At 49.9% G+C, this 22189-nt stretch overlaps 1 long non-coding RNA gene across 2 annotated transcripts, besides 3 other annotated features; it reads right to left on the bottom strand.

Moving 5' to 3' along the window:
• Nucleotides 1-1343: 1343 nt before the first annotated feature.
• LOC107986478 (uncharacterized) lies at nt 1344-22150 on the bottom strand. 2 transcript variants are annotated; one of them, XR_001742996.2, is made up of 3 exons: nt 21996-22150; nt 8348-8403; nt 1344-7417 (listed from the first exon to the last, which is right to left on the bottom strand). It is a non-coding gene; the product is annotated as an uncharacterized LOC107986478 (long non-coding RNA). The 2 variants fall into 2 exon arrangements; XR_001742995.2 differs by lacking the exon at nt 21996-22150 and adding an exon at nt 9154-9197.
• Nucleotides 8773-9273: an enhancer, noted in NCBI's record as "H3K4me1 hESC enhancer chr5:172057552-172058052 (GRCh37/hg19 assembly coordinates)". NCBI's record gives its function as "activates a minimal SCP1, AML or CMV promoter by ChIP-STARR-seq in naive H9 embryonic stem cells {active_cell/tissue: H9 hESC(naive)}" and the evidence as "EXISTENCE:reporter gene assay evidence [ECO:0000049][PMID:30033119]".
• Nucleotides 12918-13572: an enhancer, noted in NCBI's record as "H3K4me1 hESC enhancer chr5:172053253-172053907 (GRCh37/hg19 assembly coordinates)". NCBI's record gives its function as "activates a minimal SCP1, AML or CMV promoter by ChIP-STARR-seq in naive H9 embryonic stem cells {active_cell/tissue: H9 hESC(naive)}" and the evidence as "EXISTENCE:reporter gene assay evidence [ECO:0000049][PMID:30033119]".
• Nucleotides 17055-17740: an enhancer, noted in NCBI's record as "H3K4me1 hESC enhancer chr5:172049085-172049770 (GRCh37/hg19 assembly coordinates)". NCBI's record gives its function as "activates a minimal SCP1, AML or CMV promoter by ChIP-STARR-seq in naive H9 embryonic stem cells {active_cell/tissue: H9 hESC(naive)}" and the evidence as "EXISTENCE:reporter gene assay evidence [ECO:0000049][PMID:30033119]".

The raw sequence follows: 22189 nt of genomic DNA, 5'->3' as shown, positions 1-22189 counted from the left end.
GTCCGTTAGCGTGATCCTTTTTTTTTTTCTTTTTTTTTTTGAGACAGAGTCTCACTCTGTCACCCAGGCTGGAGTGGAATGGCACAATCTTGGCTCACTGCAACCTCTGCCTACCAAGTTCAAGCAATTCTCCTGCCTCAGCCTCTTGAGTAGCTGGGATTACAGGCACCCACTACCACGCCCCGCTAATTTTTGTATTTTTAGTAGAGATGGGATTTCATCATGTTGGCCAGGCTGGTCTCAAACTTCTGACCTCAAGCGGTTCCCCCACCTCAGCCTCCCAAAGTGCTGGGATTACAGGCCTAAGCCACCTCACCTGGCTGATCCTCCTTTAATCTATGTGACATTGGGTTGCATATGGAGGTCAGCAATATTATAAAGGGAATTGAGGGAATTTTCCTCAGATAAGGCAATGCAAACAAATATGACTTTGTGACGGCAAGGGTGAGAGGTTGTGAACAGGCCTTTTAAAGGCCACTTTCAGAGTACCTCAGTAAGTGGCCATGTTGTGCAGATCACAAATACTCACCTGCAGCAAATGAATCCCTACTGTCAAAATGTGATGCGGATTGGACCTGCGGTGGAGACACTGTGCCCAGCAGTTGCCTGACATGTGGATTCGAAAGGGCTGTGTGTTAGCCTCTGGATCTCTGAGAGTAGGACCTGCTCTAGTAAAAAGCTGCCCCCAACACACACGATGGTGACACTAGTGTCAAAGCCACACAGAAAAGAATTAGAATCAAATTGTTTCCTGAAATTTGAAACTGCCAAAAGCAATCTTTCCATATTAGTATTCTCTATGAGAATAATTGCAAATATGTTTATATAACTAAAGTAATAAATGAAATATTTCAAGTAGATGTCTATTTCATCTTCACCCCATTAAGTTTATATTATTCAATAAGAAAGTGCATCTTCTCATAGGGAGAATGGGGATTGCCTGTAATCTTTACTTGGATTACCTTATATTTGGGCACATACAGCAGTTGCTCACCCATCTGAGATCCCTCTGCACTTTGTGCTGTCCCCTCAATTACACCCTCAAGACAGGTGTTGTAGCTGTTACCTTTGCGTCCTCTCCACTGCCAGACAGGATGCTCCTGCAGGCAGGAAGAAGGCTGTAATCATCTAGGAAACCCCAGTGCCCAGAACAGGGCTGGCAGACACAGGTGCTCAATACACATTTGCATAAATTGACTGCAGAGATGCATTGCCCTGAGCTGAGAGAAAAACAGAAAAGAAGGAGAGAGGGAAGAAAGAAGGAATGGAGAAAGGTAATAAGAAGGGAGAGGAGAGAAAGAGCTGTGAGAGAATGAGTTTTTGCCATTAGTAGCCCTAGACCCTGGTGTGATGAATAGTAATATGTGCAGGGAAAAATAAGCAAATGAGCAAAATAGGGATGCATTAACAGAAATATAGTCTTTAGGACAAAGGAGGGGCTTGCTGCTCCAGTGCATGTTGGTTAGACCATTCCAGAAGTCGCTTTGGCTCTGGGCACCACACTAGAGAAGGAGGACAAAGCTAGTCCACGAAGGTGGAAGGGTGGCTTTGGGAGAGAGGGAGATCCCTGTCCCAGGAGGTGTGCAAATAGAAACCATATATTTCCTGCCAGGCAGTTGAGGAGGGGCTTCCTGAGTCACATGTCTTCTAAAGTATACCTTCCAGTACAATCATCCACTGAGCCCCTACAACCCACATGAAGCCATGGGGGTGATTTATGGTTTGAGGTTTATGAGTCTGATTGGTCCTGCCTCTACTGACCCTGAGAGGACTGCAGAGGTGCTCCCCTGTCTTTGCAGCTTGTGTACCAAGCTGATCTCCTGGGATGTGGGCCTCCCATTTTTGTTGCCTCTCCCAATCTCACCTCTTCCCACTAGCTCCCAAGCAGGGCTGGCCGGGACACTGTGGAAATGCTGTCTGCATGTATTAGGGGCCTGGGATCCAGGCACTATGTCTAACAGCAACAAGGGAAGGGAAGGGACTGTTGGACTCAGCACCTGCCGCACAGGAGACTTTATAACCACAGGGATGGAATGTGAATCTCTTCCTTCTCCAAATATTATAGTCATACCACATCCAAGGAGATAGGTTCTAGCATCCCCATTTTCCAAACGAGGACACCAAGCCTCAGACAGGTAAAGTCACATGCCTAAGTCTCTGCAGCTGCTAAGAGGAGTTGGGATGTGAACCTACGTGTGCCCATATCCAAGCCTCATCTTCTAAGCAGTGTCCCTTAAAGTTAGAGAGGACAGCTCTGCCCAGGCGCCAAGGCGGCAGGACACCAGGGCTGCAGAGGAACGGGTGGGGTCTCAGAACCAGAACCCGCAGACACTAACGGCTGCCATAGAGCCTGTGGGGCAGAGCATGGGGTGGGGACATCTTCCGGCCCGGGCAGCAGCCTCCAGTCACAGCAGCTCCTGGATTTGACTTTCACACACATACACATCTCTACCAATCACATCCAGAATTGCACAGACTGTGCCACCCTCCTTTAGCACCAGTACCCATACATGGGCTGCAGGGGCCTCTGGGTGGGGCTGTCTCTCTTGATTATGCAGCGTCAGCAGAGCCTCCCGGGGCAGTTGGTAGTGGGAGTGCCCTGGCCGGGCTCCCTGGCATTGCTCCCTGGGGGCATGCCCTGGCAGGCCCTGCCCCATGCAATAACAGGCAATCAGGTGCATGTTGTAAAAAGGGTGCACACTGAGCTGCTGTGCCAGGCTAGGGGGTATGCCCACTGCAGATACCTGCGTGAAATGACCCCTTCCTTCAGGGTGTTTGCCCAGCCTCCTCCTCACAACTCAAGAGCCGAGTATCTGCAGTCACACTGCAAAGCTCGGTTTTAAAATGGCTGCAGGAAGGCTGTGCTTTTCTACAAACCCTGACTACGAAACCTTCAATTTCCAACAGATCTTTACCTGAAAAAGCATCATTTTTCAGTTGCTGGTTACAAAGTGCCAGCCGCATAGTGGGCCCCACGCTACACCCTCTGAGTGATCCTTGTCCCAGCATGGCGGCATGGTCATTAACACAAGTCAATTCCCATTTTGCAGGAGAGGAAGCTGAAGCTCAGAGATGGAAAAGAGCTGCCCAGGTCACACAGCTAGAAGGGGGCAGAACTCAGAGGGTTCTTAGTCCTCTCTGCAGAGGAAACAAGCTCCGGTGATGAGGCCACTTGCTTGATGTAGCACAGCAGTGAGCAGAGGAGCCAGGAGCCGGCATCCCTCGGGCTTCAAAACCAGCGCTCCAATAGCAAAGTCATTGAACCAAACTAAGTGTCCATCAACAGTTGATTTGACAAAGAAAATGTGGTACATATACACTGTGGAATACCATGCAGCCATAAAAAAGGATGAAATCATGTCTTTTGCAGCAACAGGGATGGGGCTGGAGGCCATTATCCTAAGTGAAATAACTCAGAAACAGAAAATCAAACACTGGCCAGACACAGTGGCTCATGCCTGTAATCCCAGCACTTTGAGAGGCTGAGACAGGCAAATCACTGGAGGTCAGGAGTTCAAAACCGGCCTGGCTAACATGGTGAAACCCCATCTCTACTAAAAATACAAAAATAAGCCAGGTGTGGTAGCATGCGCCTGTAATCCCAGCACTTTGGGAGGCCGAAGTGGGCAGATCATTTGAGGTCAGAAGTTCAAGACCAACCTGGCCAACATGGTGAATCCCCATCTCTACTAAAAATACAAAAATTGCCAGGCATGGTGGCGGTCGCCTGTAATCCCAGCTACTCAGGAGGCTGAGGCAGGAGAATCGCTTGAGCACAGGGGGCGGAGGTTGCCGTAAGCAGAGATCGTGCCACTGCATTCCAGCCTGGGGACAGAATGAGACTCCACAAACAAACAAACACAAATCAGAAAATCAAACACTACATGTTCTCACTTTATAAGTGAGGGTTGAACAACAGGTACACATGGACATAAAGATGGAAGCGATAGACACTGCGGACTCCCAAAGCCAGGATGGTGAGAGGGGAGTAAGGGCTGAAAATTACCTATTGGGCACAACGTTCACAATTTGGGTGATGGTACACTAGGAGCCCAAACCTCCCCATTACACAATATAACCATGTAACAAGCCTGCGCACGTACCCCCTGAATCTTAAATTTAAAAAGAAAAAGTAAAAACAAACCAAAAAACCCTGTTGCTCCCACTGCACTGTCCCCAATAAGCAAGTCACTTTTTTTTTTTTTTTTTGAGACAGAGTCTCGCTCTGTCACCCACGCTGGAGTGCAGTGGCACAATCTTGGCTCACTGCAAGCTCCGCCTCCTGGGTTCACGCCATTCTTCTGCCTCAGCCTCCCGAGTAGCTGGGACTACAGGTGCCCGCCACCACGCCCGGCTAATTTTTTTTTGCATTTTTAGTAGAGACTGGGTTTCACTGTGCTAGCCAGGATGGTCTTGATCGCCTGACCTCATGATCCGCCTGCCTCAGCCTCCCAAAGTGCTGGGATCACAGGCGTGAGCCACAGCACCCGGCCGAGCAAGTCACTTTTATGTGGTGGAGTCTGGCAGCACGTACCTGGCAGCCAAGGCAAAAAAAGAAAGAAGGCTCACCGCCTGGTTTTCATTGTCTTGTGCATGCAGACACAGGCTTGGTCCTGGGGCCGGCTCCAAAGGAAGCTCGTCGGCGGTACACAGGAAGGCTGAGTAGACAGAACTTCTTCTTGAGTTTGGCCAAAGACGCATCAACAGCATTTAGATGGATAGTCCCATACTAGACATCTAAAAAGGCCAAGGACTGACATTTTCCTGAAATCCAAGGGAGGCAGCACTACTGGGAGCTGGGGTCATGGGTGCTCCACACTCAACTTTCTCACAACACAGGGACAGAGCTTAGATGCTCTGAAATGCATGTCATGGGCATGGGACAGAAGCCTGCAGCAGGGGTTGAATTGAACTGAAATCAATCTATCATCCCAATAACTGGCATTCACTGTATGATTACAATAATTGCTATACATCATAGCTAACATTTATTAAGTGCCAGGTATGTTCTAAGCCTCACAATAGATGTATTAACCTCACAATTACCCTATGAGATAGTACTGTCAACGTGCCCATTTTACAGATGGGGAAACTGAAGCCCAGAGAGTGTACATAGCTTGGCCACAGTCACACAGACAGAGAACAGTTTGGCTAAACATCTTAGACTCTGATTTCTTTCATCCTCATAACAACCCTATTAACAGGAAAGGAGGTTAAGGGTTAAGGAGCTGCTTCTCAGACTCTTGTATTTGTCTCCTCATTTAATCCTCACCTCCTCCTGCAAGGTAGGGGTTGTTATCATCTCCATTCTACAGTGCATGCTGGGAGGCTCAGAGAGGTGAAGCAACTTGTCTAAGGCCACACAGCCAAGAGCGACAGGATCAGGACTAGAACCCAGCCCACTCTGACCCCAGAGTCTGTGCTTTCCTCCTCTTGGCCCTTCAGATGGCTGAGAGTTTGCGGAGGGCCTGGCTCATCCTACCTGCAGTAACTTGAGGGCAGGGCTGTGCTAATTCATCTGAGTCCAGTGCCCAGCCCTGGTCTGGCCCTGGGATAAACCACTGTCCCCTCCTGACTTCCTGGAGCAGCAGAGAACCCACCCAGGGGGATGTGGACTTTCGAAGAAAAACTGGAATAATGGATTGGGTGGCACTTAAGAACCCAGGCTGAAATCCTGGCTTGGCTACTTACTAACTGAGTGACCTTAAGGGTTATATGTCCTCTCTGTGCCTCAGCTTCTACACTTGTAAAATGGAGCTGCTGACAGTCTATGTCACAGGGCATTTGGAGAAATAGATGCACTGATCAAAAGGGGCTGGCACACAGTGAACAGTCAGTAGATGTGGGCTTGGGAAGGCCTTATCCTTCTCAGGATCTCCCCCACCGGACCACCCCTGCATGCCCATAAGCTGATTGCAGCCCTTCTCTGCTAAAAATCCCTTCCCATGCAGACAGGGTTTAGATGGGGCCCAACAGCCTGGGTTGGAGTCCTGGTTCTGCCACTCTCTGGCTGGGTGACTCTGGGCAAGTCATTTCAGCCCTCTGCGGCCACTCCACCTCCTCTGCCAAATAGAGAGATCATCTGTGAGCAGGGCAGAGCCCAGGCCTCCTGGCTGGGCACAGCAGGTCTACTATATTTTGGCCCATGCCACCTTCTGAAGGCTGAGCACTTGCATCCTCCTGCCCTGCTGAACAATTTGCTGGCTGTGTGTCTTTGTGCATGTACTTAACCTCTCTGAACATCAGTTGCCTCATCTGTAAAGTGGGAATGACAGTAATATCTACCTCACAGGTGATAAAACTTGTAATGAGGCAATGCATGGAAAGTCCTCGGCACAGAGTAGGTGCTCAATAAATGTTTACTGAATGAATGAGTGGATGGATGAACCCAGTGGTGGGGACTGGATTCACTCACAGGTTATAGGGTATTCATTAAGGGGTCAGGTTCTGGAACCAGACCATCTGGGCTCATAATCTGGCTTCCTGCCTATCTAGCTATGTGGCCTTGAGCTTGTTATTCGACTTCTCTGTGCTTACTTCTCTCACGTGTAAAATCAGCTAATAATAGTACTAGCCCTATAGGATTGTTTTGAGGATTAAATGAGATAATGTGTATCAAGTACTTAGAAGAGTTCTTGGCACATGGCAAGTGCTTAATAAAGGGAAGTCGCCACTATTATTAATTATGATTATTCCTGGGGTCAGTTGCTTGGGTGGAGGCACATTTCTCCTAGAGGAAAAGAACAGAGCGGGGACACAGGGTAGGCCCAGTAGGTGAAGTTGCCTCTCTTGGCCCTGATCACTGTGGTGTCTTCATGTCTTGGTGCTGGGCGGGGTCAGGAGCAGCCAAGTGGTTGGGAACCCAAGCAGGGAACCAGAGGGGTTGGCCAGCCAGGGGCTTGATGATGCCACACTGAACTGTGCAAGTGAATCATGACTGATGGGCTTTGAACCTTTGGGTGCCTCTGTTGCTCTGTGGTCTTTCGGGACTTCTCAGCTGCCTTGAGCTGGGGCCATATGGGCTCAGAGCATCAGCGGAGTCACAGAAGCACCCAGGGTAACATGAGCTGCAGCAGGAACCTGAGTGGGGGGATCCCAAGTTGGGAAGGATTTAGGGCAGAACTGGGGTCCTGGGCAGCAGGGACATGTGTGTCCTCCTGAGCCAAACCTTAATGTGCTGGGCTCTGTTTGTCCAGGAGGCCAGTCCTCATGTGCCACCCGTGGGCTCAGTTGGGCTCCCTGGGGAGTAGACGCAGGCCTTCCTCTGGCTCTGGCACAGATGCCACAGAGGCCAGCTCTGGGCCCCTGGCTTGGGTATGCAACCAGTCCCCTTCTACCCAGCTGGGAGGATACTGACCATGTCATGTTCCTGCTCTGAGCCTCAGGCTCCTCATCTGTAGAGTGAGGACAGGAACACCTAGAGTGGGAATGAAATGAGATGAAGCTTGGGAAGGAGCTGGTGCAGAGTGAAGGCTCAGTCTTCTGGGAACCACCATTACTATCCCAGGAGAGAGGGTGGGACTCTGTTTGTTCTCTGTGACAAGGGACCATGGTCCTTATTTATTTAGGGATCCAAGGAGCCACTCTAGCCCATACTGGAGCCTTCCCACCACAATCTGGCTCATGCTCCAAGTCTTTGTTCTTCATCACTTCTTTTTTCTTTTTCTTTTTCTTTTTTTTTTTTTTTTTTTTTTTTTTTGAGACAGAGTCTCACCCAGTCACCCAGGCTGGAGTGTAGTGGCACAATCTCAGCTCACTGCAACCTCCACCTCCTGGGTTCAAGCTGATTCTCCTGCCTCAGCCTCCTGGGACTACAGGTGCACGTCACCAAACCTGGCTAATTTTTGTATTTTCAGTAGAGATGGGGTTTCGCCATATTGGCCAGGCTGGTCTTGAACTCCCGACCTCAGGTAATCCGCCCACCTCAGCCTCCCAAAGTGCTGAGATTACAGGCATGAGCCACCATGTCAGGCCCGTTCTTCATCACTTTGTCTGCTCTTCTCGAGGGGACATGTCTGTCCTGGGAGGCTGGAGGAGTTTGGGCATTGGCCGGGACTCAGAAAACCCAGGACCAGCTGAGGCTGCAGCATTTACCCATCTAGGGGGACCTCAGGCAGGCCTCAGTGTCCTTATCTGTAAAATGGCCATGAAAAGATCAGGGCTGCAAGGCTGTTGTGGGGATCAGATGGGATTCTCATGAGACTGTGACATTGAGGCTGTGGGCATCACAGTCCTGCGGTGGGATATATGGGGCCACGTTGGGAATCCAGCATTTGGTCACACAGACCCTGGTTTAAATCCCAACTCTCCTTCTTACTTGCAGTGTGACCTGGGCAAGTGACCTTACCTTGCTCAGAGCAGTGGGGTCTCAGTGACAGGCCGAACTCTTGGGACACAAGAACACTGTATAAAGGAGAGTCATTAATGCCATCAGAGGTGTAAAATGATAATCTCTGGCCCCCTGCCACTCCTGTTTGCTTTGCTACCACCGGCATCTTAACTGGGTGACACCCCAGGAGGGCTCTCTGAAACTGCCTCCCATGACTGCTGCTGGAGCGCCTGTTCTGTGCAGCACCTAGCTTCAGACGCTGGGGACCATGGGATGAGCAGCCACTCCCACTCAGCCACCAGCAAGGACTGCCCATCACAGCCCAGCTGGTGTCAGGACGCTGCTCTGAGAAAATCAGTCAGTCGAGGTGAAGTGGGAAGAACTCCAGGCTTGGGCCAGCCAGGAGTGGGTGACAGGGACAGAGACTTCTTCCTTCCCCAAGCAAATTCATGCAGCAGACAGCCCATCTGTGGGAACCCAGCACCTGGGAGCACTTTCGAGTTCACAGAGCCATTCCCCTTTTGTGGCCTCTTTTCAGATTTATGGGACCCTCTTTGCCCGTTTCACTGATGAAGAAACTGCAGCTCGGAGAGGTGAAGGCTTTGCCCTTTGGCTAAGCAGCTGGGACAGAGTGGACTCAGGCCCGTCCTCCACCTCACTCCTCGCCTGCAGAAGGAAGAGATTCCTTAGGCCAAGAGGAAGAAGCCCACGAGAGGAGGTGCGAGTGTCTCAAGGAGCCAACGGGATCCTCCATTTGCCTGTGGTGTCAGGGCAGGGTCCTGAAGCCTGAGGGTCCAGGGTTGAGTCCCAGCTTGGGCACTTACCAGGTGTGACCTTGGGCTGGTCACGTGACCTGTCTGTGCTGCAGGTTCTGTATCTGTAGAATGAGTCAAATAACAGAAACTAGCTGAGGGGGCCATGAGCATTAAATGAGTTAATAAGGCTTCAGCATTTACACAAGTGTCTGGCAATAGTAAATCCTCAAGAAACAGGTGCCCCATGACAGCCACAGTTGCAGGTTCGAACTCCCGCTGTTAAACTCCTCATAGGCTTCTGCTCACATTCTTCAAGTCTGGAATCCACTTCTAGGAACCTGTCCTGAGGATGTAATCCCAGATAGATAGGGACAAAGCTAATTGATGGCCAGAGACGCTCACTGTACACCACGTACACCTGAATAAAGTCACAAACACTTCCTACCACAGGGCAGTGGCTTAGTAAACAGGCAAGCCACTCAATACAATCACAGAGCTCCTGGCTGTGATATTCCCAAAGGGTTTAGAGTCGCAGGGAGAAGGCTGTTTTAATGTTAAGTGAGAAAGGCTGAACACAGAACTCTAAACTCAGGGTGATTTCAAGCTTGTAAAAAGAAAATAAGCAAACATAAAATGTGTATAGAAACAAGGTGAAAGGCAACATAGCAAAACATGGCCAGTGATGATCTCTGAGGAACAGGAATATGGGTGATTTTTTTCCACCTTTTTCTACCTATTGGCCAATTTCTAAATATTCTGTAATGAGTATGTATAAAACTTTTTTTCTTTTTTGAGATAGGCAGAGTCTCACTGTGTCACCTAAGCTGGGGTGCAGTGCTGCAATCATGGGTCACTGCAGCCTTAAGCTCCTGGGCTCAAGCAATCCTCCTATCTCAGCCTCCCAAGTAGCTGGGACCACAGGCGTGCATCACCATGCCCAGCTAATTTTTTCTTTTTTTTTTTTAAGAGACAAGGCCTCACTATGTTACCCTGGCTGCTCTCAAACTCCTGAGCTCAAGTGATCCTCCCACAGTCCTGGGATTACAGGTGTGAGCCACAACACCTGACCAAAACTTTTCTAATGGGAGAGAACTCAATAGACTACTTTTGAAATAATACAGTTTTATACAGTGAGCTGAAACAGACTTGTCCTTAGCATGTTGGCATGGATTGGATTGTCAGTTTTCTAGTAATGAGTTGAACACTGGGGGCTGAGCCTGTGACCGACAGTGTTCACTTCAGTACATGTTTATTAGGGGCCCCAGCTCTGGGCTAGCCTCTGATTGGGCAGGGGAAGAAGGGCCAGGGGCAGGGCCCAGACATAGGTACAGTTTGAAGTCCCTTTGATACCAGGCCAGCTGGAGGTACAGAGAAAACATCCTGGAAACATTGCTGGATGGAGGCTGTCTTCGTGATTTTCCATATTCAAATGTTGCCGGTACTATCATTCACTTAATAGATTTTTAAAAATTGGTTCACCTAAAAAATACTCAGAAAACTATAGATTATTATTAAGAGGAAGCAAAAAATGCTAAAATAAATGAATAGATATATCATATTCATGGTGGGACCACTCAATATTTTAAATAAGTCAATTCTCTGCAAACTGACTTATAGATTCAACACATACACCTCTAATCAAAATCCTAACAGGGGTGTGTGTGTGTGTGTGTGTGTGTGTGTGTGTGTGTGTTTAACTTGGAAAACAAATTCTAGTTTTCAAAAAAATGTATGTAGAAACCCAAAGGGTAAAGGATAACCAATTTTTGAAAAGGAAGAACTTTTAGCCAGAAGAGTTGATAGCTCTTCTGGCTATCAAAACCTATTATAAAGCGATGGTAAATAAGTGCAGTGTTGGTACAAGGATAGACAAATAGATCTATCTATGGGATAGAATAAAAAAGTCAGACATAAATGGATGCATGTTTTATGACAAATGTGACACTGCCAAGTATTGGGAGAGAGGCCAAGCTTTTCAATGACCAGTGCTGGGTGAATTGGCCATCCATATGGAAAAAAATGGAGCTTGATCCCGACCTCAAACCATTCATGACATCAATTTCAGGGGAATTGTAGACATACATGTTAAAGACAAAATGTAAAACTTCTAGAAAGTAGAGAACGGCTTTATGCCTTCAGAGCAGTAGACAGATTCTTCAACACGGCACAGGAAGTGGTGGCCATACCAAAAGGATTGATGAAATCAACTCCATTGAAATTTAAATTCTTTCTGTCAAAAGACATTCAAAGGAGAGTGAAAAGGCAGGTTACAGAGTGGGGAAAGATACTTTGCCCACATACAACTACAAGAGAGCCTACTTTTTCCCCCAGAATAAACACAACTAAAAATATGACAAAAACTAACAACTCAATATAAAATGAGCAAAACCAGGTACTTCACAACAAGAATGTTCCAATAGCCAATAAATATATAAAAGATACTGAATCTTGTCAATAACCAGGAAAACTAAAATTAAAGTCGCAATGAAATAACCACAGCACCCCAACTAGATTGGCTGAGATTTAAAATTTTCACAATACCAAGAGTTGACAGAAATGTGAAGAAATTTTGACAATACCAAGAGTTGACAGGAATTCTTCTACCTGGCTGATGGGAGTGTAAAATGGTACAACCACTTTAGAAAAGTATTTGGCAGTATCTATCATAGTTAAACATACTTCTACCCCCATGATCCAGCAATTCCTCTCCTGGGCATAGGCCAAACAGAAATGCTTACTTATGTGAACCTAAAGACCTGCTGATGAATGCATCATAGCTTTCATCAAATGCTATTCAAAATGGCCCCAAACTGAGAACAACCCAAATGTCCATCCACTATAGACTGGATCAATAAGTTAGGAGACCCTTACAAAGTGGAATACTATGCCGTAATGAGAAAAAACAAAATACAGCTACACACAGCGACCCGAGTGATTCACACACATAATGTTCTGTGAAAGAAGCCAGACACAAAAGAATGCATACTACGGGACTCCACTTACATGATGTTCAAAGCCCAGCGTGTGTAGGTGATAAAACTCAAAAGAAAAGCAAGAAATGCCTATCGTAAAATGCAGGACGGTGATTGCCTTTGAACAAGAGGGAGGAGTAGTGATTAGCAGTGGCCCAAGGCTGGGTTCTGGGGAGCTAGAAATGTTCTATTTCTTCACTTGATGATTGCTTTTTGATCAATTATTGAACTGCACATTTTAGTTTTCACGTGAGTTTTATCCGTACACAATGGGCCCTCTCTCTGTGTGTGGAATTTCACAATAAGAAGTTTAAAAGAACGTCTTCCAGGGCACTAAATGGAAGGCAATTTGCATCCAGGTGCTAAGGAAGCATCCCCAGGCAGGAGAGCAAGACAGCATCATGAGAAAGCCAGAAGGATGAAGCCTCGTTCCATCCAGGTGCCAAATGCCCTGTCCGTCTTAGACTTAGAAATAAAATTCAGAAGAGAGAGGTGATGCAGACATGCATATTAGCATGTTTGCAGATTAGAAAATGAACTCATATAGTTCCTGCCTGAAAGTCAGCCTGACCTGGCTGCATGGTGCGGTGGAGAGCAGTGGCTTTGCCGCTCAGTGTGCATGGAAGAGTTTTCAGGCAAATAAGTGAGCGGAATCCACAGCTCCAAGGTTTTGGTGAGATTTTATTTAAAGCGCATGTTCAGCATACAGCACGCTAGAAATTACCTTTGCAACTATTTACATTTAGGATAAAACATTCAGATGCCAACTAAAAGCGTTTGTGTGGGGGACGTGGTTTTCAAAATTCTCTTAGGGGCTATGTGAACCCCAAATACGAAGAGCACTTTCTTTTCTTTTCTTTCTTTTTTTTTTTTTTGAGACAGAGTCTCACACTGCCACCCAGGTTGGAGTGCAATGGCACGCTCTTGGCTCACTGCAACCTCTGCCTCCCAGGTTCAAGCTATTCTCCTGCCTCAGCCTCCTGAGTAGCTGGGAATACAGGCACCCACCACCACCCCCGGCTCATTTTTGTATTATTAATAGAGATGGGGTTTTTCCATGTTGCCCAGGCTGGTCTCAAACTCCTGACCGCAGGTGATCCACCCTCCTCAGCCTCCCAAAGTGCTGGGATTACAGGCGTGAGCCACCGCGCCAGGCCAGAAGAGCTCTTTCTTAACAGGGGTGTGAGTAGACTCTGACAAGTGACGACAAGCGGGAAGGGCACTCATGGGGGAGGAACAGCACAGGCAAAGGCCTGGGAGCCAAGCTGTGTGCTGCGCTGAGGATTTGTGGAGGAAGAAGGGCAGGTGTCTGGTCTGTAAGGAGCCCTGAGGGCCTCAGTGGGGGAGCAGGAAGAGGCTCAGGAGAGGGAGGAGGAGCCCAGTGGAGTCAGCAAGAGGAGAAGGAGAGAGGCCGGAGCCTTTGGAGGAACAGGTGGCTGAGCAGGTGTGGAAGAAGAAAGCAAAGAAAGGGGCTTCTCTGATCCCCTGTTGTGTGTGGCCACAGCTCTTGAAAAGACCCCACAAAGCAGGCCCCTATCCTAACAGCTGCCTTGAAAGGGCCTTGTGCCCACCCATCTGCCACCATCCTCCACCCCATCCCTTATGATCGCCAGGGTCTCCCAGCAACACAGGCCCTGTCCTCGCCAGATGGGGGTCGGGGAGGGGAAAGCCACCCTGCCACCCAGCCTGGGGACAGAGACCGAGCAGGAGACTTCACACAGCAGGCCCTGGGCCACTCTGTCCTTTATATCTCTTTTCAGCAAACTGCCAATACAAAAGACTCAGTAGTTAATTTTTTTAAAAATTCAAATAGTGCCCGGGTGGTAGAAAGATTGAAGTGAAGTTGCGCGCTCAGTCAGTCTCTACTGCAGCCAGTTTGCTATGTGTTCTAGTCATCCCCTTACCTCTTCACAAACCTCCCCAGGAGAAAACAGCCAGGGCTTCAGTCAACCAACCTGGGTGTGCACCCTTCTCTGCTCCTGCTGTGTGACCTCAAGCAAGTGCTTTACTTCTCTGAGCCTCATTTCCTCACCTGCTAAATGGGGCTAGGAATAGCACTGATCTCAGAACATTCCACACTGTGAATCCCCTTTCCCCATTCCTCCCTCACCAAAGTTGAAGCCGGTGGGTGTGTCCCATCGGGAGGAAAGTTGGCCACTGACCACTGTCCTCCCCCACTCAGAGGGGAGCTGGGGTCCCTGACCTAAGGAAGGGGGCTATGTGGACTGAGACAAAAGAATCAGCACGATGTGTGGGTGGGGGCGGCCCCTCCATCCAGGGTGATCAGAGAAGGCCTCTCTGCAAAGGGGACCTGTGAGGGGATCTGTGAGGGGCGGGAAGGAAGCCAGGTGGGTGTGTGAGGAAGGGTACACCAGGCAGAGGGGACTGCATGAGCTGGGAGGTGTCTTTTCAAATGACCTGGGTATTACCTGAGGGAAGGGTGGTGGCCAAGCTGAGAGATTTCACCCAGAGATTTCACCCAGATCTTTCTGTGCCCAAAGTCCTTGACCCTGAAGTGTCACCAGCTGAAGCTGACTGCCAACCTCACCATAACTAGAGGTTGAAGTGCTCCTCTCTTCCTGGAAGACTGTGGGAAAGAGGCAGACGTTAGCTCAGAAGGAGTCTTGCCCAGCCCCGTCCTGGGGGAGCCTCCCCAGCTCCCTCCATTTCCCTATCTGTCCAGTCTCCCAGCCTCACCTGAGGCCACTCTGAGCCACTGTCAGAGAGTGGAGCTCCTGCCCAGCCCAGCTGGGGGGCAAAGCCCTCTGCAGTCTAAATTTCCCGGCCTCGGATGCCCCAGTTAAGGCCTTGAACCAGGGCTGTGAAATGGCCCAAGAACAGTTGCTGAATATTAGTGAGTGAATGAATGCATGAAAGGAGTAACTGAATGAATGAATGAATGAATGAATGAATGAATGATGGAGTAACTGAATGAATGCAAGGGATGCCCAGGCAGACAGCTAGCGTGGAGAGTGCAGGCTGGCAGATGGCTCAGCGGGGAAGGTCAGAGGGGGACGAAGGCCGGGGCCAGGCTCAGCCAGGCCACCTTCAGCCTCGCCTCCCAGGCCTCTGTGCCATCTGTAAAATGGACTCATCTAGGACTCTCCGAGCAGCAAGCGCCTCACCCTCCTCCTGGCTCTGTTCTGGCCACTGGCCAAAGGCAGTCAGGCTCTGAAGACCCTGCCCCCACTAGAACCAGGGAAGACCCTGGGATGAGCGGATCTGCTAATAGCACAGATCTCACTTCTGAGCCTCACCACTTCCAGCCTCTCAACAGCCTGCAAGGTGGGCCTTACTGCCCCTGTCTTCTAGGGGTAGAGGCAACCACCTGGACCCAGCGTCCTAGCACAAGTTTACACAGGGGAAACAGAGTCAGGTTCAAGCAGGGGATTGGGACTCCAAAGACCTGCCTTGCAGAGGGACCTGATTACAGGCGTGCACTGAGTGTGTGAATTTATTCAGCAGCTGCTGACCCTGAAGCGAGGCCGTGTGGTCTCAAATCCTTTCCCAGGCAAAGCTCTTCCGCAGCCAGATCTCTGTGAATCTGCTCTGCTGCTCAGCCCGAGGTGGGGGTGGGAAACGTGGGGGGTGATATTTCAGGACCCATTACATGAAAACAGACTGAGGATTCCCCTATCTTTAGCAACCAAGCTGTGCATACCTGTTTCTCCCCCACTGGGAGCAAAAGCTCAGATAAACATCCGCTCACACCAGCCCAATAATTCCTTAAATAAAGCGGATACATTTTGGCATCCACTGTGCTCAAAATATATGCTCCCTGGATTTTTAATATCACACGAGGTCTGCATAAATTTAACCTGAGTGCATCAGCTATTGACTGTCGCATTACGTGAATCACCATTTGGGGCGTCAGGATAAGGGGAACAGATCCGCGAGCTCAGTGGGTGTGGGAGGACTGTGCTCAATCCTAGTGGTCTGTGTGAGGGATCCCAGCTCTCCTGATCTCCCAGGGATGAGATAGTAGTCATAGTGAGATCTATGCCACCGAGCCGGGCTTCCTGGATCTATTCTCTCAGGGCCAGAGTCCTCACTCCATGGCATGGCCCTGGTTGAGTCCCTCCACTGGTGTCCCCTTGCTCTGTGGATAGAAGTCCACTTTCTGACCTGCCCACTTGGCCCTCTGTGATCTGGTCCCTGTGGACCTCTCATCTATCTCCCACCACCCTGGCCTGTGTTCACTTTGGTCCTGCCACACCAGCGTTCTTCTGCTCTTTAAGCAACACTGGGCCTCACCCAGCCTCAGGGCCTTTGCACCTGCCATTCCCCTACCTGAAGTGTTTTCCCTAGATCTCCAAAGCAGCTTCATCTTACCAGTAGAGGCTCAGCTCAAGTGTGACCTTTTCCCAGGGGCCTCTCAGACTAGATAGACTTAAGTTTCCTGCTCCTTCTCCCTCCAGCAAGGGGTTATCTCAGCCCCCTGCTTTATTTTCTTCAAAGACGCTGAAACTATATTGATAGGGTTACCCATGTATTGTCTTCCTTCCCACTGGAAGGTCAGCAACATGACAGGCATCTCACCTGCCTTGTTCATAGATGTATCTTTGGAGCCTAAGTGCACACAGTAGGTGCTCAATAAATATCTGTTAAATATACAAATGAATGGTTCCTCACAGCAACTCTCACCAAAGCTTTGCCCTTTCCCTGATTTTAGAGATTAAGAAACAGGCTCAGAGAGGTTCAGTGACTTGCCCAAGGTCACGACAGCCCAGTTGTAGGCACCCTGCCTGGCCCCATGAGGCCCCAGCATGTGTCTGGGGCTGGGAACCCAGCACTGAGCCCACACCCTCCTTTGCTCCTCAGTAATAAACCTTGATGGGACAGGGAAGGAAAGGCTGAATGTTCTCCTAATTAACTAGTGCGGGGGTTGCCAGGCAGCAAGGACAGGCCTTTGATCCCAGCCCACGGGTGATGGAACCAGAACTCCACCCACACAGATGATTGTGCCATTTGAGCCAGCAGCTGTGACTAGCAGCTCACCTGAGTTTGTTGTCATAAAGTCAAGTTATTACGGGGCATTGCTGGGGCCATAAAGGGCATTGGAACGAAAGTGGGAGGAGAGGAGCCCTTTAAGAAATCTCCAAGCCAGCTCCCAAAGGGTCTCACCAGCTCAGAGTGTAGCTCACACTGATGGGGCTCCTGCCGTGCCAAACGCCACTGAGGTGCTTTCCTTCCGTTCTCCCCTGAAACCCTCCCAGTGGCCGTGGGAGGCAGGTGCGGTCACAGCATTGCCCAACCCGAGATGCTGTTTGTTGTAAAGGGCATTCCGATCTCAGACGGGTCGAAATGCGAACCCGTGTGTCTTGCAGAATTGACAAAACCAAAACCTACTCTCATCTCACAAAGATGATCCTGCTCAGAGAGGACCAGTGATGACCCCCAACAGCGGTCCTCCAAACCGCTTAGTATATACAGCTCCCTCTCCTCTCCATGGTGCTTTCAGCCTCCAGCCTCTGTGCAGGCTGTTCCTTCTGCCTGGAGTGCCCTTCCTGGTCATCCACTCCACTTCCGCCTGGTGAGTTACAGTCCACCTTCCCCGACCCAGCCCAGACACAACCCCGTCTGTGGCTCTCCCAGCCTCAGATCTCAGTAGGAGGAACTCTTGTTTGCAGCGTGGCCCAGAAAGGGGTTAATAAGTTCTCCAAGGAGAGCAACTGAGTCGTCTGCAGCAACATAGATAGAATCCTCCTGTCTGTCTGCAGTGATACAGATAGAATCACCCTGAGGGCTTCTTCCTGTGTCAGGGCCTCTCAGGCCTCAGTGGGCATAAGAGTCACGAAGGGTCGTGTATTTGAAATGCAGACTCCCTGGCCCTGCCCTAGAGACCCTGATTCTGCAGGTGTGAGCGAGGCCCTGGAATCTGCATTCTTATAAGCCCATCCTGTGATTCCATTGTCGGGAATGCTGCAAAGTGCTGCTCTCAGCCTTAGAGTCGAAGTTCGTGGCTGGGCACGGTGGCTCACGCCTGTAATCCCAGCACTTTGGGAGGCTCAGGCGGGTGGATCACCTGAGGTCAGGAGTTTGAGACCAGCCTGGCCAACTTGGTGAAACCTCATCTCTACTAAAAATACAAAAAATTAGCTGGGCGAGTTGGTGGGCACCTGTAATCCCAGCTACTCCGGGGGCTGAGGCGGGGAGAACCGCTTGAACCTGGGAGCTGGAGGTTGCAGTTAGCCGAGATTGTGCTATTGTACTTCAGCCTGGGCAAAAAGAGCGAAACTCCATCTCAAAAAAAAAAAAAAAAAAGTTTGTCTTGACCAGCAGGACAGGCCCGAGGGAGTCTCTGTAAAATGCCCAATCAGTGCCCTTCTGGTTGTAAAGTGGGAAAGCAGTACAATAGCAAGCACACCACCCCAAATGTTTCTTAGCAGATAGCACAGTTGCACCCAGGCTGGCTACCTTTTCATTTCCACTTGAGTTCAAACTCGTTTTCCTGTTCCCACAGCTCTTCGAGTTGTGCTTGCTGCAGGTTGTGAGGCAGTTCCCTGAGAACCCAGCCCTCTTTGGACGGTAGCGTACAGGTCTACAGCGTGGGTGTGGGTTGTCCATCATTCTGCATGTTCCTGAGGTCTGTGGGGAGATCATAACTTCCTGCAAAGGAGTGGCTCTAATGGTGGGGTTCTAGGCACTGCTGCGAGCTGCTGGCTGTAGGTGCAGGGGTGGACAGTGCTTCTGTGTACATTCCTGGCACTTAGCGGGTGGTCTAGCAATGGTTTATAGAAAAACCAAAAGGCCTGGGCCTCACTCCTGAGCTCTCTTTTTTACAACCTTGCTTGATGTTCTTATGGCTCCTCAAACATCCTTTATCCCAAACACGAAGCTGGAGAGGGGAGTGAGAGCCTGATTGCTGAGAGGCCCTGGTCCTCAGAGGTCTGGTGGAGGATGATGGGGAGCCAGAGAGGGATTTTGAGCAAGTGACAAATGAATTGAAGGACAGAGAGGAAAGAGACATGTTCCCCAATGAGCGGGCTGCTGCGATGTCACATCCGTCTATCTGGCACTTACAAAGTGCCCACTGTTGAATGAAGGCAGGCCCCGGCCCTCGGGGGGCCCACAGCCCTGCCATGGCAGCAGCCAGGGGGAGTGGCAGGCTGTGGCCGGGTGGACATGTACTTCCTTCTGCTCTTTCAGGAAGCACAAGTTTGTTTTCCAATGAACTGACAGTGAGGCTGAAAGAATCTACCCACTAGGACCTGCCTCAATTTTTGCTCCACTTCTTAGAAGCCAATGACCTAGGGCAGTTTGCTTCTCAGCGTCCACCTTCAGCTCGCACCTCTGTAAAACTGGTATCAAATACCACCTGGCTCTCAGGCCTGTTGCGGGGGGTGAGCATGTGTGGAATGTGGGGAAGTGGCCTGTAAGGGTTACAGGTGGGGACTATGTCAGGGTCCCTGGTAGGAATAATGAAAGGGACCAACATTTCTTACAAGTCTCTTAAAGAGCAGGGGTGCAGAGGAAGCAGAGGGATATTGGAGGAGACTGATATTCCTTGCGGCTGCACTGTGTGTCTGTTGTCCCAGTGCCTTCTGCCTTCCCAGCATCTGATCCAGGCAGCTCCTCCAAACTTAATGCTAACCCATCGCACACAACAACCTCTCCCCTCCACAGCACCTAGAGTGCCATCCACACAAATCCCATCATCTCACACTCCTGTTTAAAACACTTCAGTGACTCCCTATCATCCTGGGATCAAACCCCAGTTCCCACCTGTGACCCACTGATCTTGGCTTGGCCTGACCTCTGTTTGTCTTCTGACTTTATCTCTCCACTCTCAGTTCTGTCTCTCCAGGCACCTGGTCTTTCCCATCCCTCCTCCTTTGCCCAGGTAGCACCCTGAAGACCTCAAGGAAGCAGTGCCTTTACCTCCCTTCCCTTCCCTCCCCACTTGCTCCAACTTCATGGACCCCTCTCCACTTGTTCTTTTTGTTGTTTAATTTTTTATTTATTTATTTTTTTGAGATGTAGTCTTGCTCTGTCACCCAGGCTTGAGTGCAGTGGTGGAATCTCAGCTCACTGTAACCTCCACCTCTTGGGTTCAAGCAATTCTCCCGCCTGAGTCTCCCAAGCAGCTGGGATTACAGACACCCGCCACCACACCCGGCTAATTTTTGTATTTTTAGTAGAGACGGGGTTTCACCATGTTGGCCAGGCTGGTCTGGAACTCCTGACCTCATGATCTGCCTGCCTCGGCCTCCCAAAGTGCTGGGATTACAGGCATGAACCATGGTGTCCTGCCTCCATTTGTTCTTAGTGACAGTTTTCATGGGTCCCAGTGTGCATTTAATCATGAGCTTATTTGATTCTTGCCTTTTCCCCTAGTCTGTGAGCTCATGCAGGCAGCGGCCACAACCATCTACTAAGGTCTGCATGATGGTATCCCCCAGCAATTCCTCTCTGTTGGAATCCTAGTTCTCAATGTGATGGTATGAAGAGGTGGGACCTTTGGAAGGTGATTAGGCCATGAGGGATTTGCGCCCTTATAAAAGGGACCCCAGAGAGCGGCCTTACCCCTTCCACTGTGTGAGGACACAGCAAGAAGGTGCCATCTCTGAAACCAGAAAGCAGACCCTCCCCAGACACGGAATCTGCTGGCGCCTTGATCTTGGACCTCCCAGCCTCCAGAACTGGGAGCAATAAATATCTGTTGTTGTGAGCCACCCAGTCTATGGTGTTTTGTTATGGCAGCCCAAACCAACTAAGACAGCATCTGCCCGCTGCTATGTCCTTGGCTCCTAGCACAGAGCCAGCACACAGTAGGTGCTCAACAAATGAACAAAGGAACAGATGGACGAAGCCCAGAAGTCATTAGGTAAGAAGGACCCACTGTGTGCACAGAGCTGAGTTAAGCAGAGTGAGGTGAAGGTGAGGAAAGACCATCTTTGGCTCACCGGGCTAGCTGTTTCCAGAAAGGACTCATTTAGCCTCCTGCATCCCCCAGAGGAGGAGACCCCTACTCCATTTCTGAGTCAGGGCTCCTGGGCGCCATTCCTTGGCCCAGACACAACTTGCTGTGTGACCTGGGCAAGTCCCTTGGGCTCTCTGGGCCTCATCCCTCACCTGGGAAATTATCATACCTACTTTTGCGTTGTTGAGGATGAAGGGAGTGATTGGAGGCAGAGTGGCAGGCCCTAGGCCTGGCGCATAGCACGTGTTCAATAAGCGTTCCTTCCCTTCTTAGCAAATAAGATGTAATTCAGTCTGTCAGAACATATTTCTCATAGGATTTTTATCTCTAGTCACACTAGCTTGCAGGCTTTAAAAACCACATTAATACCATATTTTTAAAAGCTGTTCTTAGAGGAGAAAACGAAGGGAAGGGAGGAAGACATTTCTTTTTTTTTTTTAGGGCCTCAGTTTAATTTTTTTTGTTTACCTATATATTACAAAGGACATTACGAAGGATGTAGATGAACACCAGATGCTGAGAATGACAGAGCAAGATGTGGAGTGGGGGATACAGCGCTTCCCTGCTCTCTCTGGGCGTCCCACCATCCCAGCCTCGCCCATGTGTTCAGCAACCCAGAAGCTCCTCAGTTTAATTTTTAACAGAAAGAAAACGTACTGGGGACCCCACGGACCGCAGCTCCTCCCACACGAACCCTACACCCAAGGCAGGACTCTCCTTATGTCATGTGTGGCCCCCGCACAATCTGGGAAGACTGTGAGGTTGCGGGCGCGGAGCTGCTCAGAGAAGGCTTCCGGGCCGCAGTCGCCAGGCAGGGACGGGACAGAACGCCCCGGGTCCCGGTTGCTGGCCCAACCCCACCTTGAGGCCGAGGAGCTCGAGGGCCGAACTGCGCCAGAACTCGGGTCCCAAATCCCGAAGTCGCCTGCAGGGAGCCTGGGGTCCTGCCACAGCCGGTTCTGGCCGTTTCCAATCAGCCCCTGCCGGATCTCGGGTAGCTGTCCCCAAACACTCACCATTTCCAGGCTTCCAGGTGTCCTGGCTTGGGGGGAAGACATTTCTTCTTGAGTTCGATTTAGTGGGAAATGATGGTTCGAGTTAGAAAATTCTTTTTTTTTTTTTGAAATGGGGTTTTGCTCTTGTTGCCCAGGCTGGAGTGCAGCGGCGCGATCTCGGCTCGCTGCAACCTCTGCCTCCCAGGTTCAAGCAA

This window comes from Homo sapiens, chromosome 5, assembly GCF_000001405.40.
Source record: "Homo sapiens chromosome 5, GRCh38.p14 Primary Assembly".
Classification (NCBI taxonomy): Eukaryota; Metazoa; Chordata; class Mammalia; order Primates; family Hominidae; genus Homo; species Homo sapiens.
Note: the sequence above shows the minus strand (reverse complement) of the source record. Positions and strands in the feature narration are given on the sequence as shown.